Source organism: Homo sapiens, chromosome 4, assembly GCF_000001405.40.
Source record: "Homo sapiens chromosome 4, GRCh38.p14 Primary Assembly".
Lineage (NCBI taxonomy): Eukaryota > Metazoa > Chordata > Mammalia > Primates > Hominidae > Homo > Homo sapiens.
This window is the reverse complement of record NC_000004.12, coordinates 16,325,405-16,346,987: the sequence shown is the minus strand read 5'-3', so window position 1 is coordinate 16,346,987 and position 21,583 is coordinate 16,325,405. Positions and strand designations below refer to the sequence as shown.

At 36.4% G+C, this 21,583-nt stretch overlaps 1 long non-coding RNA gene across 3 annotated transcripts in view; it reads right to left on the bottom strand.

Annotated features, from left to right (window-relative positions):
• LOC124900674 (uncharacterized) overlaps positions 1–21,583 on the bottom strand; it is a 71,217-nt gene that overhangs the window by 11,301 nt on the left and 38,333 nt on the right. For 2 of the 3 annotated variants that reach the window (XR_007058065.1, XR_007058066.1), the window contains one exon: positions 15,473–21,273. The exons of the other annotated variant lie outside the window; for it this stretch is intronic. This is a non-coding gene — a long non-coding RNA (uncharacterized LOC124900674). Of the gene's footprint in view, positions 1–15,472; positions 21,274–21,583 lie in introns of those variants that run through there. 3 annotated transcript variants of the gene reach the window in all.

Below are 21,583 nucleotides of genomic sequence, written 5' to 3'. Positions count from 1 at the left end.
CCTTGAGGGCTGAAAATGAAGATGATGTTAATGGCAAACACTTAATGTGATGTTTGATATGTCAGGCACTAGTTTAAGCCTCTTGCTAAGATAAGGAAACTGAGGCATGGAAGGATAAGTAACTATCCCAAGATCAGAAAGCTTATAAGTAGTGTTGCTGCTGAGGCAATGAATTCAACCCCAGGCAGTTAAATTCTAGAATCTGTGAGCTTAGCCACATGCTCCACTGCCTCTCAGAGATGGTTCCATTTTGACAACTCCCATTAAAGTACCCAAAACAAAGATTAGTGTTCCAAACATTTTCACAATAAATGAAAAAATTAGTGAATGAATATGTAATTGTGTCTCATGAAATTTAAAAGAAACATCCTTAATTTGTTTTAAAAATATTAATTTAAAACTATTTATTAAAAGATATTCACGGCTGGGCACAGTGGCTCACGCCTGTAATCCCAACACTTTGGGAGGCCAAGGTGGGTGGATTGCCTGAGCTCAGGAGTTGGAGACCAGCCTGGCAACACGGTGAAACCCCATCTCTACTAAAATACAAAAAATTAGCTGGGCGTGGTGACATGGGCTTGTAACCCCAGCTACCTGGGAAGCTGAGACAGGAGAATCACTTGAACCTGGGAGGTGCAGGATGCAGTGAGCCGAGATTGCATCACTGCACTCCAGCCTGGGTGACAGAGCGAGACTCCATCTCAAAAGAAAAAAAAAAAAAAAAAAAAGATATTCACAGAAATCTATAATAAGCATGTCATGAGGCAGATAGATGTCCCTATAAAGATTATGCATCCTATGACTCAGTGTCAATAAAAAAAAAAAGATATGCATCCCTGGAATATGTTCTATTACATGGCAAGGGGAAATTAAGGTTGCTCATTAGTTGACCTTAAAATAATAGAGTTATCCTAGATTATCTGGGCTCAGTGTAATTACATGGGTCCTTAACTGTGGAAGAAGGAGGCAAAATGAGCAGGACTTGACTGGCCATTACTGTCTTTGAAGATGGAAGAAGGGGACAAGAGCCAAGAAATGTGAGCGACTTTTAAAAGCTGGAAAAGTCAAGAAAATGAATTCTCCTCTAGAAGATCCAGAAGGAACACAGCCCTGCCAATGTCTTTATTTCAGCCCAGTAAGACCTGTTTTAGACTTCTAACCTTCATAATTGTAAGATAATCAATTTTTGTTGTTTTAAATCATAAAGTTTATGGTAATTTGTTATAATAGCAATAGGGAGCTAATTTAAATTTTGGTACCTGTAAATGTGGTGTTATTGAGATAAATACCTACAAATATAGAATTAACTTTAGAATTGTGCAATGGGAAGAGGCTGGAAGAATTTTGAAGTGCATGAGAGAAGAAAACCTAAATTGCCTCACAAACACTCTTAGCAGAGATATTTCTGTTAATGACTCTGTTAGTGAGGACACAGAAGAAAGTGAGGATCATGATAGGGAAAACTTACAACATCTTAGAGAATGCTTAAATCATTATAAGCAGATTGTTGGTGGAAATATGGACATTAAAGGCACTGCCAGTGAGGGCACAGATGGAAATAAGGAATATATTATTGAAAACCAGAGGAAAAGAGATCCTTTTTACATAGTGAGAGAAAGTTTAGCTGAATTGTGTACAGGTATGTGGAAAGCGAATTTGTAAACAATGTGCTTGGATATTTAGCTGAAAAGATTTCAACCAAAGTATTAAAGGTGAAGTCTAGTTTCTTCTCTCTGCTATAGTAAAATGCAAGAGGAAATAGGTAGACTGTAGAACTGTTAACCAAAAAGAAACTAGAATTTGATAATTCAGAAAATTCTTGGCTTATCCATATTACAAAAGATATTAAAATTAGGATACTCAGTTTCAGGGAAGCATGCTCTGGAGAGAAAGTCAAGGGTGTGGTGGACAGCCTTATGCTAGTGCTTTGGAAGAATCAGAAGATCAGAGTATTCAGTTGCACAGATGGGTTTTTGAAGAAACTAGAGAAACTAGAAGTGTTACTCATGGATCATTTCAGCTATCTAAGCAGAAGCCAAGAACAGAGTTGGGCTTATCCAGGAAATATCTGTGGAGGAGCCTCTTGTCTAATGGCATGAATCCCCATGACATACACGAGTGATCAACAAAGTTCTTGAAATCTCATATCAGCAGAAATACTGCCATCTTGGACTGAAAGGTGCAGGGAGAGGATGAAATGAAAGTCTGTCAACCCCTCCCCCAGATTCTAGAGGCAAAAAACAGGCTGGTAAAACTACTCAGCTGTAAATGCATGCTATCTTTTAAGAAAAAGGAGTTATGATTGTGAGAATAAATCCATGAGCCTAAAGGTTGAATCCTCCAGCCCAGAGGGAGGTGCCTCAAGTCATAGAGGATTATTCCCAGGTCCTGGAATCAAATGGAGTTTTCCTGTCTGGATTTCAAAATTGCTTGGAACCACTGACTCTTGGGTTTTGTTTGTTTGTTTGCTTGTTTCCTTCAATTTTCTCCCTTTTTGAATGGGAATTTCTGTAACTGATATCTTATGTCTGTCCTACCACTATATATTTTGGTATTTCTTGAGTTTTGTAGGTTTCAGATGGAGAATTTGCCTTAGAATGGATTATACACAGAGCCACATTCATACCTGATTTAAATGATTTAGATGGTGAGACTTAAGACTTTTAAGCTGATGAAATTTAGATGACTTTTTTTTTTTACTGTGTATGCTGTAATTAGTTCACACATTTATGGCTGTTAGGAGGAATTAGACCATTGTGAATGCTTTCATATCCAACTTATATTTTGCATGTAAGTTGGATATGAAACTTTGAGGCCAAACAGCACATTGTAGGAGGCAGAATAATTTCTTCCACTCCAAAGATGTGTATGTTCTAATTTGTAGGAGCTGTGAAATACCACGTTACATGGCAGGGGAGAATTAAGATTACAAGTGGAATTAAGATTCCTAATTAAATTTGAGGCCCTGCCTCACACCATACATAAATCCATCCCAGCTTAAACAAAGACTTAAATGTTAAAGGCATAACTGTAAAATCTTTTAGAAGACACCACTAAAAAGTATTTTATAAGACTGAGGTAGAAATTAACTCTGTAAACAAGAGAACAAAATGAAATGAAATGCACAAATTCTAATAGAAGAAACTAATAAATTCAAATACACTCATTAAGACTTCCCATTTATGCAAAGGACATGAACAGACACTTCTCAAAAGAAGACATACATGTGGCCAACAAACTTGGAAAAAAGCTCAACATCACTGATCATTAGAGAAATGCAAATCAAAACCACAATTAGATATCATCTCATGCCAGTCAGAATGGCAATTATTCAAAAGTCCAACCAGGCACAGTGGCTCACTCCTGTAAACCCAGCACTTTGGGAGATGAAGGTGGGCAGATCACCTAAGTTCAGAAGTTTGAGGCCAGACTGACCAACATGGTGAAACCCTGTCTCTACTAAAAATACAAAAAAATTAGCCGGGCCTGGTGGTGGGTGCCTGTAATCCCAGCTACTCAGGAAGCTGAGGCAGGAGAATCGCTTGAACCTGGGAGGCGGAGGTTGCAATGAGCCGAGATCACGCCATTGCACTCCAGCCTGGATGACAAGAGCGAGACTCTGTCTCAAAAAAATAAAATAAAGTAAAATAAAAATAAAAAGCCCAGAAACAACATATGCTGGCAAGGTTGTGGAGAAAAAGGAACAACACTGTTGGTGGGAATGCAAATTAGTTCAACCACTGTGGAAGACAATGTGGCGATTCCTCAAAGATTTAGAACCAGAAATACCATTTGACCCAGCAATCCCATTACTAAGTATATACCCAAAGGAATATAAATGATTCTATTATAAAGATACAGGCACACATATGTTCATTGCAGCAATATTCACAATAGCAAAGACATGGAATCAACCCAAATGCCCATCAATGATAGACTGATAAGGAAAAGGTGGTACATATACACCATGGAATACTATACAGCCATAAAAAGGAGTGAGCTCATGTCCTTTTCAGGGGCATGAATGGAGCTAGAAGCCATTATCCTCAGCAAACTAATGTGGGAACAGAAAACCAAACACCACCTATTCTCACTTATGAATGGGAGCTGAACAATGAGAACATATGGACACAGGTTGAGGAACAACACACAGTGAAGCCTGTCAGGGGAGGGCATGAGCGGGGTGGGGAGAGCACAGGAAAAATAGTGAATGCATGCCGGGCTTAAAACCTAGGTGATGATAGGTGCAGCAAACCAGCATGGCACACATTTATCTATGTAACAAACCTGCACTTCCTGCACATGTACCCTGGGTCTTAGACAATAAGAAAAATTGTAAGACTTCCCATTTGTCAAAAAACAATAAAGAAGATGAAAAGACAAGAAAGAGAAAATATTTGCAGCATATACTGACAAAGAATGAATATCCAGAATATATAAAGAAATACAGAAAAAGACCAGCAATCCAATAGATAAATGGACAATATGTATGAACAAGCTTTTCACAGGAGAAAAATCACAAATGGTGAGCAAACATTTTAAAAATTAACCTGATTAAAAAAGCAAGGAAATGCGGGCTATATACCCTCATTCTTTCCCCAGCCACCACAACAGAACTTGAATAATGTTTGACTGACAGGAGTACAAAAAGCCCCCTTCTTTCAAGGAGGACTAACTCTGTGGTGCAATTTGTGCTCCAGAGATTCCCCTTAGATTATATTGAAAGATATACTTAATGCTAAATGACGAATTACTGGGTGCAGCACACCAGCATGGCACATGTATACATATGTAACAAACCTGCACGTTGTGCACACGTACCCTAAAACTTTAAGTATAATAATAATAAAATTTTAAAAAAAGATTATATTGAAGCTAGTCTGTAGCAGAAAGCCACTCTTGCTTGAGTTTCTTCCCTGACCTATTCTGCTTTCTTTACTCTTCTTCTCCTGAGAGCATCCCTGCAGTAAATAACCTGAACACGGATCCTCATCTCTGGCTGTATTTCTTGGGAATCCAGACTTAGAAAAAAGTAAAAGTAACAAACAAATAGTAGAAGAAATTGAAATAATTTAAAAAATCCAAAAGAAGGCAAGAAATTAGGGTGACCAAACATGAAAAAAGTGAAATACGTTTTTAAAAGGTAGTAAGATGATAGATTTAAACCCAAATATATTTGTAATTACATAAAATGTCAACAAAGTAAGTAATTAAAAGCCAAAGATTGCCAGATGGGAAAAAATAGAAATACCAACTCTATGATACTTTCAAGAGATATTCCTTACATAGAAGAATATAGAAAAGTAAAACAATGGAAAATGTATAACATCCAACTAATATGAAACAAAATAGAATTTAAGGCAAGGAATATTATTAGAGAAAAAAAGGGAAGGCTGGGTGCAGTGGCTCACACCTATAATCACAGCACTTTGAGAGGCCATGGCAGAAGGATTGCTTGAGTCCAGGAGTTTGAGACAAGCCTGGGCAACATAAAGAGACCCAATATCTAAAAATAAAAAATAAAAACAAATTTTAATAAAAGGGATATTGTAATTATAAGAGAGTCAATCTACAGGAAAATATTTTTAATCTAAATTTTTATGCACAAAATAACACAGCTTCACAATATATAAAGCAAAAAATGACCCAAATTCAAAGGAGAAACATATGAAGCCACAATTATAGTGGGAAATTTTGCGATACTTCTATCAGTAATCAGTGGAATATGGCATCATAAACAAAACTAAGGAAATGTAAGATTTGAACACGTATGCAATAGTGAATCTAATTAACTTATATAGGAAAATGCATTCATAACCTGCAGAAAGCATATTATTTTGGGGTACGTAGGACATATAGGAGTTGTCAAAACCAGCCATACGTTGGACCATAAAGTAAGTCTCAACAAATTCTAAATGACTTAAATGAGAATATATCCTTTGATTACAATGAAATTAAGCAAGAACAGTATTAATGGCATAAGCTAACTGGAAAAGCTCCAAATATCTTCAGTTTAAGCTTTACACTCTCGAATAACCCATAAGTGAAAGAAAAAGTCAAAATGGAAATTAAATAATAATTTGAACTGAATGATAATAAAAATGCAAGATATCAAAACATATGGGATGTAGTTAAAATCACGCTCATAGTTAAACATATAGCCTCAATTAAACCTAGCAGATAGGAAGACAGGCTTGAAGTCATGATACAAGATGATGACAGGAAAAACATGTCAAGAAGAAAATAATGAAGATGAAATTCTAAATTACTGCAATACAACATAAATGTACAATAAAAAGAATCAATAAATCTAAAAGCTGATACTTGAAAAGTTAATACAATTGACAAATCCATTGTAAAACACATCAAGAAAAAAATAAGCTGCAAAAAAGTAATACCATCAGTGAAAAATAGGACATAACTACAAATTCTATAGACACTCAAATTAATAAAATGATAAATTTATACCCATAAATTTGGAAATGTAGGTTAAATAGGTGATTTATTATAAAACAACTTACCAAAGCTAAACAAGAAAAAGTAATTTGAATATGTATATAAGTATTAAAGATACTGAACTAAGTAAAGTTTTCCATAAAGAAAATTCCATACCAAGATACATCACTGGTGAACTCTTCCAAACACTTTAAGGAAGAAATAACACCAATATTACACAAATTTTTTCAGAGTATGGACAAAGCCAGTTCCCTTTTCAAGTCATATTACACATAAGGCCAGTACATCTTTGAAATCAAAACTTGACAATGATATTGCAAGAAAAATACTAGAGACCAATAATTCACATGAACATAAATAAATAAAACACCAAACAAAATATTTGCAAAACAAATTAAGCAACACATGAAAAGAATTATTATGACCACATTGTGCTTATTTCAGGAACATGAGGTTAACTTAATGTTCAAACATCAATGGATTATAATCCACCATATTAATAGAATAACATAAAAAATTACACAAACATGTTAATAATGCAAAAAAATGGATAAAATTTCCTATTAAAAACTTTGAGTAAACTAAGACTAGAAAGGACCGGGTTAAATTTGATTAAGGGCACCTACAGAAAGAACTTCAGAAAGTATTTTATTTCAATATATACTAATATATTCAAAGTAATAATGCAAGATAAAGAACTAAAAGGTATAAGAATTGGAAAAAACAAAGTTGTTATTATTTGCAGATAACATTATTGTATGTATAGAAAAATCTGAAAAAATACAGGTAAGATAGAATTTGTTAGTAAATTTGGGAAAGCCACCAGATAGAAACAATATAAAATTAATTTTATTTCTATATACTAACAAAAAAACTACTAGAAAATGAAATTTAAAAAGACATCTTTTACTGTAGCATAAAAACTTATAACTATAAATATATATAACTATAAAAATATATATTTATATATACCTCTATATATAATAAATAAAATAAATAAAAATAAAAAGTATATATGTGTGTGTGTATATATATATATATAGAGAGAGAGAGAGAGAGAGAGAGAGATAGAAACCTATTGAGTAAAACATTTTAAATACCTTAAAAAATGGAGGAATATTTCATGCTTATAGACTGAAAGAAGTTGTAATTATCGATTCTCCACAAGTTAATCATTATAATTTTAATCAATATCCCAGAAGGACTGCTGTAAAAATTGACAAGCGGGTTTAAACATTTTTAATGAAAATACAGGGTCAAGAAAAGTGAAAACAATCTTGAAGAAGAACAAAGCTAGAAGGTTCATGGTCTCAATTGTCAAGATGTATCATGAAGCTACAGTAATCAAGAGAGTGTAATATTGACATAAAAATAGACAAATAGGTCAATGGAATGTAAAGAAGAGTTCAGGGATGGGTAACACATAATGGTCATTTCATATGAGAGTGTCCCCGCACTGCAGTAGCGAAAAGATGATCTTTCAATAAATGATACTGGGTCAATTAGACATCCATATGAATCTGAATCATTACCTTATAAAATGCATAAAAACCAATTCCAGAGAGATTGCATATCTAAATATGTAAAGAACAATAAAGCTCTTGAAGGAAAACATGAGAAAATATCTTCATGGCTTCAGGGTAGACCAGGACTTCTTAAAGAGGACATAAAAGGCATTCATCATAAAGGGAAAGATTGATAATTGGGCTACATTCAAAATAAAAAGTGTATATTCATCCAAAACACAATTAGAACAGTGAAAACGCAAGACACAGAGTGGGGAAAGATATAACTGACAAAGAATTCCTATTCAGAATATATTCCATGAATCAATAAGGAAAAGATTGGCAACCTAATTTTTTAAATGGGTAAAAATCTTGGGCAAGCCATTTAGAAAAGGTAATAAACATATGAAAAGGTATTCAACCTTATTAATCATTAGGTAACTATAAGTTAAAACCATGGTATTGAATGACTATCTTTAAAAAGACTGAAAATGCCAAATGTTGAAGATGTAGAGTAATGGGAACTTTAAGAACCACTGCTGGCAGTGTAAATTGGCACACTTTAAATAACTATTTGACCAATTTAATTATTGATGCGAATTTCCTCATTTCTCTGTAATAGAATTATATATTCACACACTAACAAAGACCGCATGGTGGGTGGCATGATTTTTCCCCATCCCTTGGGTGTGACTTGCATTGCACTGAGGATATTGGTGGACAACATGTGAGCAGAGGCTTGAACTATGCTTTTGCAGTTAGGCAAGCCATCTTGGTTCCAGCCTCTTGCTGTGAAAAGAATGTACTACCAGAGAAGCCACTGGTCCGAGAAAGATGAGAGACACCCAAACAAAGCCAGAGTAAGCCCAACTTAAATCAGCAGCATCCCAGCCAGCCCACAGACGGGTGAGTAATAAATGCTCATTGTTATATGTTGCTCATTTTGATGTGGTTAACTTCATGCCATTATTGTGACAATGGTTGATTCATATGTGCTCTACTCTACCTGGTAAACCTCAATATATATCCAATCTATGACTCAGCAAATCCACTGTTTATATATATAATTATATTTATATATATTTATAATACATATTTATAATTATATATAAGTATAATTATATAAAAACATATTTTAAGTATATATTTAAATGGACATACATGTATATATCCAATTAAAATGTGTGTGTATATACATGTATATATATGTATATATATGTGTATATATATACATATATATACATGTATATATGTATATACACACACATGCACACCCCAAATGTATGAGCCTTACTGGAGCATTATTCATAATACCATACAATAAAAATAACTCAAATATTCATCAACCCTAGAATGGATACATATACAATTATATGCTCAAACAATAAAATACTATATAACAAAAACAAAACAAATGAAAGAACCACACTACACCTACCAACACAGATAAATCTCACAAATACTATGTTACACAAAAGAAATCCAGATTCAAAATAATTTCCATTGTATGATTCCTTATGTATAAAATTAGAAAAACAAGCAAATTAATCTGTGGATTTAGAAGTCAGGACGGGAGTTATGTGGGGGAAGATGGAAGCACACAACCACAGTGGGTGCTGGGAAGGTTCTATTTTTTGATCTTCATGATGGTCATGGGGTGGATTCACTTTAGGAAGCTTCATGAAGTTGTGCACTTTGGTATGCACACTTTTCTGAACAAGTTAGACTACAAAGAAATAAAATTTTTTTGTATTTCCTTACAATTATATTTTCTGAGGAAAAAACATTAGCTGAAATCAATAGACTCTAGTCCTTCCATTTCCAGCAATTCAGTGTCCTTCAGTATGAGGTGAGCATGGCCATTTTGGGAACAGTGAAAAGAAAATATTAAGAAAAACTATTTAACTATTCATCCTTGAGAAATAATAAGAGCTTTACTAATGTTTTACATACATATTGATACTCTCACCCACCTTTGGTTGTTATGTGAGAGGGTCACATGCCACATAATGTGCAAAGAGTGCTCTCAAGGACAAGTTCCATGAAGGGAAGGGACAGCTGCAGCTCCCTCACACATCTGTTCACTGTCAGTATATTAACATGCACCTGGTTAAGTGGATATGCATTTTATTGTCCAGTTCTAATCATACTAATCATCACGAAATGGAGAAGTGGCTGAAAATATCCCTGCAAAGAAATGGTGGGTTGAGCATAATACAGGAAGAAAACAAGAAAATGGCAGAGTTGATGCTTCTCCTCCTGGTATGAGTTCTTGGTCAGCCCCATCACAAGATAGAAATAATGCAATCAGTTAAAAATTTCTTCAATGTATTTTCAAAAAGTGTTTGACTGTGAAATTATATATTAATGTTAATAATAAACTTCATCCAAGCATGCAGTGTGCCTCCAGAGACCAATACGCATGCCTTAAGCATAGTATGAAGCCACTAAGACCAGTGAGACAATAAATATTGTTTGTATTATCTCATTCTTTTTTATTTATATTATATATAGTAATGTACGTAATATGGTTTTTTTGGTCATTTTTTGTTTGTTTGTTTTTGTGTTTTTTGTTTTTTTTTTTTTTTTGAGATGGAGTTTCTTTTGCTCTTGCTGCCCGGGCACGATCTCGGCTCACCGCAACCTCCGCCTCCCAGGTTCATGCGATTCTCCTGCCTCACCCTCCCGAATAGCTGGGATTACAGGCATGCACCACCATGCCCGGCTAATTTTGTATTTTTAGTAGAGACAGGGTTTCTCCATGTTGGTCAGGCTGGTCTCGAACTCCCAACCTCAGGTGATCTGCCTGCCTCAGCCTCCCAAAGGGCTAGGATTACAGGAGTGAGCCACTGTACCCGGCCTATAATATGTTAATATAGCTATCCATGATTCTAAATACATATATATATATATATATATATATATATATATATATATGAAGTGCATGCTTAAAATTTTTTTATTTATAGGTACACAACCAAAATGCTTTAGAAACCATTGCATACTGCGAGACTTTAGCTGCTAATTCTCTCTGGAATGAAATGTATCTATACAATAAGGAATATTAAGTTAAAGCTGAATTTTCCTTCTTTTTTTTTTTTTTTTTTTTTTGAGACAGGGTCTCTCTTTGTCACATTAGCTGGAGTGCAGTGGCATGATCTCAGCTCACTGCAACCTCTGCCCCCCGGGCTCAAGCACTCCTCCCACCTCGCCTCCCTAGTAGCTTGGACCACAGGTGCACACCACCATGCCTGGCTATTTTTTTTGTATTTTTAGTAGATACAGGGTCTCGCCATGTTGCCCAGGCTGAAAGCTGAATATTTCTTAGATTCTTTTCTACTCTGCTGTTCTATGAGTGTATTATTTTACGTAGTAAAGGGGAAATATTACTCTAAGATGTAATTTCCCCAAATCCATAAAAAATGCTATTTAGAAAACAGAAGGAGAATTATCATATAGCACCAACTATGAGCCAAGCCCTGAGCTAACAGCTTTGTGTATACAACCTATTCAATGGCAACAGACTCAAGAGGGAGATATTATTACTCCCATTTTCCAGATGAGGAGACAAAGTTTGATATGTAAATCATTGTTAAATAAGGAAACAGTCTCAGGTTACGTTGTGGAGCAGTTGGGAATTTTAAATCAAGATCTGACTGATTGCAAACTTTTTCTTATTCCTTCACATTAGTATTCTGAAGGAGAACATGAAATTTATGTTTTTATGTGATTTTTGTGTGTGTTTATATGAAATGTCCTGTTTTACTTACGTTTAGAGGTGCTAGGGGTCTTACCAATTGTCACTGTTAACTTCTATATCCCAAGTGTCCATACAGTGCCAAGTACGTGGTGGCATTCCATAAGTATTTGCAGAAAGAAAGATGAATGAACGAATGAATGAATGAATAACATGGTAGAACATATTCCATGCCAACTCTAAAGGTACTCAACTGTTAACAGAGAAGCTCCTCCACTCTGAATTTTGATTTTGCCATAAAAAATAAATCCAATATGAGCCTTCCTTCAGATGTATATTGCAATGAATACAAAACCAAAACATGCATTTAAATCACTTATATCTAACTTTTTATGATGCCACTGGGAATGGTGTTCTTTTTGCATTTGCAGTTAAAGGGTAGAACAGATGGCGGAAGTTTAGTTTCAAGTGATGGGCCCATTAAAATAACTTATGCTGTTGAGTGATTGTTCACTCTAAAGGCTCCATTCATTATATCTGCGTTTGCAAGCTTCAAAATACTTGGAAGGAAATAGGACTTCAGGAAATGTTTGCTGTATCAAGAGACTTGCTGGAATAGGACTGCAGACCCACACATTCTATCCCTTAGAAAAAAAGAGTATGAGCTTGCCTGAGGCTTAGCTAAATAGGAAGCTTGTTTCATAGAGCACCCACCCTGGAAGAACTTATGCAGGAAGAGACGTGGAGTTAGAAAATAATGTTCTGGAGAACAAGTGTGGAATCCCCTTGAACAACTTTTTTTCACCTTTTCTATCTTCTAAGACTGTGAATTTAAATATAAAAATTTGTAGCTACAAAAATAAGTATAACGACAGAATGAAAGAGAAGAAAACATAAATGTCAAAATATGGTCTGGAAGAGTCAGCTGGGAGCCGGCTGTAAGAACTCCTTCATCTCTTATCACTGGTTTAGCAACATGGACGTACACACCAGGAGTAGGGCCACATGAAGTCCTTCCTATATACTAAACTATCACATATTCAGCTCAGTTTGGTTGGCCAAATGGTGGCGTGCACCCTGGAATGGAAACCAGGACATCTGGGTTCTATACCAGGGAACTCAGGTGCATCAGCTCATTTAATCTTCTCAACAACCCAGTGATGTAATATTGTCTTCATTTAGCAATTGACAAAACTGAGTATGCCCAGTGGCACCTCTGATCCAAACCCAAGTCTACATGACTCTGAAATCTTTCCTCTACCCATTATTGCACACTCTCTCTTCCATCACAATTTCCAAACTAAAATTCGCTTAGGTAAAATGATGGGTCTTGGCTGGAAAATATCAAAAGTCAGGTCCAGTTATAACACTTCACGATTACACTATGACATTACAAAATTTAGTAAGTTTATTACAGAATATTCAATATTCATTCCATCAGCATCAACTGAGTGCTGAGATACAGGCTTGGTTTGAACTATTGAGGATCTGGTTACAGATTAGATATGACCACTGCCCCTGTTAGTCAGGGATCTGGCAGGAAACAGAGAGCATGTTCAAGATGGATAAGTTACGGAGAAGAAAGTAAAGGGAATACCTCAAAGGAATGGGCAGGAATAGAAAAGCTAATGAGAACAAGCATAGGACCCTGGGACTAATGACAGAGAGGAGCAGTTCACCTTTCTTCCTGAATGGGCAAGAGGAAGGGAAGGTTGCCAGGACCTAAAGTAGCTGCATGCAGAGACACCTGATACAAACTGAGCTCTTCAGACAACCCCTGGAGGGTTGGCATGAAGTCACACTTGCAGCCCCCTTTTCCTAAACTGTACCAGTTGGAGAATGTTAGAAGTTCGTGGGTTGGAAATCTAGAGGTAGCTGCAACTTTAAGAGAGATTTCAAAGCAAACGGTTGCCCTCAGGACTGCTTTTTCTGACCTCATATATTCAACAAACATTGATTAAATGTCTACTTTTGGTCCAAGCACTAGGGTTACAAGAAATAATAGATAAACCCAGAAAGTTGACAGGTAAAACACAGGCATTTAGAATACAGGATGAAAACTGCAATAGGCATAGTTCTGGAAGGTATGAACTGATCTGGAAAGAAAACATCCTGGGGAAGGATGCTAACACCTTGAGTCTTGAAGGACAAAGAAGATAATGTGACTTGAAAGGAGGGAAAAGTCCTCAAACCAAGAGAGCAAATGTGCAAAGGCCTGAAGAAGACAAACGGCACGGTTCCAGAGCCTGTGGGATCTCAGAGGGCAGATAGACTCAATAAATAGCTGTAACTGGCGTTGAAGGTAGAAATGTAGCATCATCCAGGAGAATGAGAAAGGTCACCAAGGAGCATGCAGAAAGAAAAAAAAGGAAAACAGCTACAGACTATGGGGCCTGAGGTATGCAGAAGAAGTCCACATTGTAATTCCTGGAATCTGTGACTATGTTACCTCACGTGGCAAAAGGGACTGAGCAGTTGATTAAATTAAGGATCTTGACATGAGAGATTATCCTGGATTATACAGATGGGTTGAATGTAATCTCAAGGATCTTTATCCATGAAAAGGGGAAACACTCTCTCCAGAAGGAGTGCACCCCTGCACATACCTTAATTTTATCCCGGTGAAACCCATTTTCAGCTTCTGACCTCTGAACCATAAATTTTAAACCCCCATGACATGAGTTTACCTGTGTAACAAACCTTCACTTGTACCCCTGAACCAGAAATAAATGTTTTAAAATAAATAAATAAATAAATCTGTATTGCTTTAAACCACTACGTTTGTGGTAATTTGTTATGACAGCAATAGGAAGCTAATACAGTACCCATAGAACACTTTGTTGTATGTTAAAAGAATGTGATTGGCCCATTAGTAGTAACAGGGAAACATTTTTCAAGACACATTGTCATTGTTTTTAAGACAATTTGCAAAAATAAATTATGTAAGTTTTTTTAAACCTCCACAAAACTAAACTAAATACCCATGGATTTATACAGGTCTATAAATGCATGGGAAAAGATCTGGTACCATTTCTATGAAACCAAAACAGTGGTGACCTCTGGGGTAGAGGAAGGCTCTAAAGATTGCAGATACTAGAGGACTTCAAAAAGTTTACGGAAAGTGGAACTAAAAGATAAAAATAAAATATGTAAGTTTTATTTCACATCAAAGTCAAGACAATTTTGTAAGCTATGATTTCAGCCATTTAGTTCATCCCTAAAGAACTGAGGGTCCTGAAAATTTAGCCATGTCTATGCAACCTTTTTTAGATTATAAACTATCACATTAGTATTCTGAAGCAGAACGTGAAATTTATGTTTTTATGTGATTTTTATGTGTAATTATATGAAATATCATGTTTTATATTCCTTTAGAGGTGCTAGGGGTCTTTCTTACCAATTGTCACTGTTAACTTCTATATCCCAAGTGTCTAGTATAGTGCCAAGTACATAGTGGCATTCCGTAAGTATTTGCAGAAAGGAAGAGAATGTGAATATGTTACCTCATGTGGCAAAAGGGACTGATCAGTCGATTAAATTAAGGATCTTGACATGAGGTAACTGAAGAAAAGTGGGTGCCCCTTACAGATTTTTTTTAAGGTTAGACAGCAAAAAGAAGTCAGAAGACACCAAATAACACCTGTAAGGTGAATGCCTAATAATTTCCCACTGAAATGCTCCCAAAGTTTCCCTTGTTTGATGAAAGGAGTGAGCAGGAGCATTGTCATGGTGGAATAGGACTCTCTAGTAATGCTTTCCCAGACTTTTTTGTTTTTTTCTGCTCAAGCTTTAGTTAACTTTCTCAACACTCTCATAATAAGCAGATGTTATCATTTATTGGCCTTCCAGAAAAATCAGCAAGCAAAATGCCTTGACAATCCCCCAAAATTGTTACCATGACCTCTGCTCTTGGCTGGTTCCCTTTTGCTTTGACTGGGCCACTTCTATGTCTTAGTAACCATTGCTCTGATTATGTCTTGTCTTCAGGATAATATTGGTAAGCATTGTTTCATTTTCTGTTACAATTCTTCTTAAAAAATGCTTCAGGATCTTGATCCTACTTGTTTAAAATTTTCATTGAAAACTTTTTTTTGTCTGCAGATGATTTGGTGGACACAATGGTTTTGGAACTCAACAAGTGGAAAGTTTGTTAAACTTTAATTTTTCATTCAGAATTGTGTAAGCTGAACCATTTGAGATGTCTGTGATGTTGGCTCTTGTTTCTGCTGTTAATCATCAGTCCTCTTCAATTAAAGCACAAACAAGGTGAATTTTTTCCTTGCAAGTTGATGTGAATGGCCTGCTACTGCGGGCTTCATCTTCAACACTGGATTTATTCCTTGTTAAGACAAATTATTCATTTGTAAACTGCTGAATAATATGGGGCATTATCCTCATAAATTTTCATAAAGCATCAATGATTTTTATCAATTTTCCACCCTAGTTTCACCATAAATTTGATGTTTGTTCTTGCTTCAATTTTAGCAGAATTCATGTTGTTCTGATAAGGATTCTTTTCAAACTGATATATTGTCCTTCTTAGTGCCTTAAACTAGATTCTGTTCAGACACAGTATAACACATTAGTATGAGTTTATTTTGGTGCAAAAAAAAGTGAAAACCATGCATAGTTTGTTCATAATATGCATTTTCTATGAACATTTTGAAGACCCCTCATAGGTGTGTATGTAAAGGCTGAGATAACAAACTCAGGAGTGAACTTCACCAAAAGATAAACACAGTTACCTCTGCAATATAGAAAGGGATGAAGGGTGGTATTTTAGGGGAACTTTGGCTTTATCCAAAAACAATGAATGGTTTATAAAGAGATATATTCACACATTTATTATGTAAAAAATAGAAAGCCAAATATTGGTTAAAATCCTTTAAGTAGAAAATAAAATGACCTGAATATAAAACTGCAGGTAATATGAATTTATTACATTCCAGCAAAGGGAGAGGAATAGGCAAAAGGGAATGGAAGGACCAGTGAGGGGAAGAAAGAATTTGAAGAATGTGTCCGATGGTTTCAATCACGTTAAGTGCTGCTGAAATAAGAAAAGTAACATCAAAGCTAAAAAGAAATGCACTAGGTTTAGCCCACAGGTGGCCTCTGAAGGCTGAGGAATCAATGGGAAAGTCAGACATGGTGAGAGAAAGGGTGGCTAGGTCTTAGGCAAACTAGAACAGAAAAGAAAGAGCCACGCAAGCCTGAAAGACTCAAGGGAGGACTTTCCAAGATGGCAGAGGTTTGGGAATATTTAGATGTTGGTGGGAAGGAAACTGAAGAGTAGGGGAAGTACAGAGGGAGGAGATAATTGATACAGCCCCAAAGCCAGGTGACTGAAGAAATGAAAAGGGAGGTGATCTAGTGCACAGGCAGAGAAATTATGCTGACAGTGCATAGGGCACATTTTTCTCTGCATGTCAAGGGAAAGCTGTAAAGATAAGTTAGTATATAGGGGGTGAGAGGGTAACAAGCATCATTTGGTTTGGTTGGCTTTGATTGTTTTTAGTGAAATAGAAGGCAAGTCTGTGGACTGAAAAGGGAATGATGAGTGATTGGATGGGAGTTTTAAGGAGGGTGGGAGGTTTGAAGCACTCCAGAGAAGTAGAATGAGAGCTGACTCAAAAAATGCACAGTTGTTGCCAGGTAACACTGGGGATTGAGGTGAGCTCCAAGAATGTGAATTCAAACAGACACTAGCCCACACAGGGACTAGGGGACTTTACAAGTAGCAGCCAGCAGTCAGGTGGGCATTCAGGAAAGAAAGCTTGTTAGAGTGACTCAGGGATGGGGGCTTACAGTTACTCAAGCCAAAAATGACCTAAGGCTTCTCGTTCTTTCATGCGCCCTATCATTAACTGAGGACATTTTGTTGAATTGAGCTCCTACATTTCTCTTGAAAGTATCCATTTCTCTCCATCCTGGCAGCCTTTGCCTCATGCCATTTAACATTCATCTCACTGGGATTATTGCATCTGCCTTCTCTTCAACTCTGACATCTTATTCTGAGTCAACATTCTTTAAAGTAAATGTGATAACATTATAAATTCCTTCCATTCCTTTTTTTCCCTTGGGACAACATCCAAATCAAGCCTCCCCAGCCTTCTCTCTCACCAAGACCAGTCCTCAAGCTTTCTAACCATGCTGAGTTGCTTGCAGTTTCTGAAATATACCTTACCTTTTCTTGGCTCTGGGCCTTTGCTTGACCTATGTTCCAACTCTTCACTGGATAAACTCCTGCTCATATTTTGAGGTTCATAAAAGACCTCATTTCCGCCAAAACTTCTCTAGCTTCCAAATTTAAATACCATTGTGTATGCTTTCATTAATACCCAGTTCCTTCCCATCATAACCATATCATGCTGTATCATAATTGCACATTTCCTCATCTGTCTCTTGCCATTAAATTTTGAGCATTATAAAGACAGGTGCTGTGTCTTATATATCACTGAGTCACTGGCACCTCACAGCATGCCTAGAACACATTCAAGATTGATTGAACAATATGGTAAACCAGGCCTCAAAATCCTGGGCTTTTCCCATTAGACTCTTATTTATAGCACAAGAGGTTAAAAACATGGCATGTATGTGTTTGGGAAAGGGATGTAGTCATGACAAGCTAAGGAGTCAACCACTCAGTATCATTAAACAGGCAGCACTTACCCTCTATGGCTTGAAAAGAATCTATTTTGATGAAGGACATGCCAGGTTTCTCAACATCAATGCCAGGTGATTTCTTAATTAACTCACAGGTACTGTCCATAGGAAAGTCCAGCGTTGATTATAAATGAGAATTAAGATAAGAGCACTGCTTCCTTTAGAACTTTAAAAATACTTTGTAGCTACTCCATAATCAAAGTAATGTTTCAGTAAGATTTGTACAATGTTTAATGTGCTGTTAATCCTATTCGGTGTACTTTTCATCTTAGATGTAATTTTCATCTCTAGAATTTTTATTGGAGTCTTTTTAAAATCTCTTCTAGGTCTCTACTTAACGTGTTCAGTCTTTCCGCTAACTTATTAAATATATGGAATACAGATGTAATAACTTTTAGTGTTTTGTCTATTAATTCTATCATCTGTGTTATTTCTGGGTCAGTTTCAATTGACAGATGTTTTTCCTAATTAAGGTAATCTTTTCTTGCTTTTTTGTATGCTTGATAATTTTTGATTGGGTGCTAGGTAGGTTTAGTTGCTCTCCACTACTGAGGCAAGACCATTATTCATGAATGTCTTGTGAATTACAAGGTTTTCCACCTCGGCTGTTGGGCACAGACACTATTTCCAGCCCTGCATAAGTTCTGAATACTGTTCCCTCTAATCCTTTGAGGTGGTTCTTCCTCTGATCTTGAACAGTTTCCTCATAGGCATGCATTGTATTACAGAGATGCATCAGTACTCATCTATATACTTGAGAAAGATCCTCTGTAAATCTCTGGAGTTCTCTCTGCAACACGTTTCTCTTTGGTACTCTACCCTGTGAATTTTATTATCTGTCTTGGCTTCTCCAGCCTCCCAGCTCTGTTTCTTCAGCTCCTAGAATCTACTGAGCTCTGCCTGGCTTCCCACTTCCCATGCTGTGGCTGAAAATGCGAACATAGACTGGATGACTCTCTAGGACTGCTCTGTGGTCGCAATCTGGAACTTTCCTTCACTGCCTCTCTGTTGGCTTTCCTGTTCCCTGGATTCTGGATTTTTCTACTTCTATGTCTTAGCTTATTCCCTTGTTTTGCTGAAATATATCTTCCAAAAGCTTCCTAAAAATGAATATGTAGGAGATTAAAAATGCTAAGTTCTTTTCTATCTGAAAATGGCTTTATTTTACACTCGGGCTTAATTGAAAGGTGACTTATTAGAGAATTATATGTTGAAAATAATTTTCACTCAAAATTTTAAAGACATTTTTCTTTGTTTTCTGGCATATAGCGTATTTATTCTATTTTCTAATGCCATCCTTAATCTAGTTTCCTTGTACTGACTTGTATTTTTATGTGAAATCTTTGGTTCTTATTTTCACTGGTAGTCTAAAATTTCTGTAAATCTATTTTTATTCACTGTTTTGGGGATTGGGTAGGCCCTCTCAACCTGAAAAGTAATGTGTTACTGTTCTGAGGAATTTCTCTGTATTATTTCTTTGAAAATTTTCTCTCAATATTATTCTCTTTATTCTTTCCAAAGTCCCTGTTAGCTAGATATTAGACTCCCTAGATTAGTTTTCTAATTTTTCTTATTTTTCTATCCTAATGTTCACCTATTTGATTTTTACTCTAGTTTCTGAAAGGTTTTCTTGATATTTCTACCAATCTTTCTCATTAATTTTTCATTTCATTTATTATATTTTTAAAATTGAAAAGTGTTTTTTTTCCTTATTACTCCTTGTTATGTAATCTTATTCTTTTTCATACACTCAAGATCTTGCCTTATGTATCTAAAGGTATTAACAGAAAAAGTTTAAATTTTTTTTGCTTTCTCTATTGCCTTTGTTTCTTCTGAGTTCCTTTTTATCTGGTGTTTTTCACTCATTTCTCAGGTATCTAGTGATACTTCATATTTGAGAATGGGTCACTAAAATAAGAGTAGAAAGCCTCACTGCAGGGTAGTTTGGAGGCAAATTGGGTTTTTCCTTTCTATTTATTTATTTATTTATTTATTTATTTTGAGACAAGAGTCTCACTCTGTTTCCCAGGCTGGAGTGCAATGGCCGATCTCAGCTCACTGCAACCTCCGTCTCCCAGTTTCAAGTGATTCTCCTGCCTCAGCCTCCCGAGTAGCTAGGATTACAGGTGTGCACCACCACCCCTGGCTAATTTTTGTATTTTTAGTAGAGACAGGGTTTCACCATGTTGACCAGGCTGGTTTCAAACTCCTGACCTCAGGTGATCCGCCTGCCTCGGCTTCCCAAAGTGTTGGGGTTATAGGCGTGAGCCACTGTGCCCAGCCAAATTGGGTTTTTAATTGGGGAGGCCAGTACATGGTCAGGATGCCAATATCTGTAGCAGTTTTCTGCAATTCCATTTCTCCATAGAAGAATTTTCTGATCTCCTGTGTGTGTTAGTGGACAAAGGATGGAATACCCCTGGCTAATGAAGTTCTAGACACAAGTCAGGAACTGAAGCAGGTAGGCAGTGTCTGACTATTCAGTCTAGACTCTCCCCTAACCACTCTGATTTCAACCTGATGCCTCACTCCTCCACTCCCTTCTCACTGGTACCCTCAGTGTTTGAGACTAAACCTCTGGTCTCTGTGGAGGAGAGGAAAGGAGCTGTCTTTGGGCAGCGAGAGGTGGAGACATCCAGAAGTCTTACTGTTCTAGTTCAGACTTTCAGTTAATTCTTTTGATTTTCATCTGGATCCTCACCTCTGGCCCAGCAGTTCATGATGTTTCCAAGTTTCAAGCCTTTGTGGGGTTCTCCAGGGTAAATTCAGACTTGCTTTGTACGCTCATTCCTCTCTGCTTCTGCTTTTTCTGCTCTGTTGTGTCACTGAGCTCTACTCCATGCACTTTCCAGCTTCTGATATATGTTGTTATTTCTCACAGATTGTTTTTTCCTCTCCTACCTCTCCTCTTTCATTCCTTTACTTTCATTTTAGTGATGATCTAGTGGGGAGCTGAATAGACATAATTCAATACTATAAATCATAAGCAAGTTTTACACATTCTGTCATTTAATTCTCACAATAATCCTATGAATTGAATGATAATTATCCCTATTACATCGATAGGGAAACTGAGACTCAAAGATGTTAAGGCATTTGCCTAGGTCACATGGCCAGTAGGGCCATGAATTTATGACCAGTTTTGACTCCAAAGACCATGACTATATTGGCTATATTTGGCACCATTCTGATTTTAAGTGTGTATGTGTGGATTTGCAAATTTGATCCCATTAGTCACTGGCATCTGGGTCCCCAGAGCTCC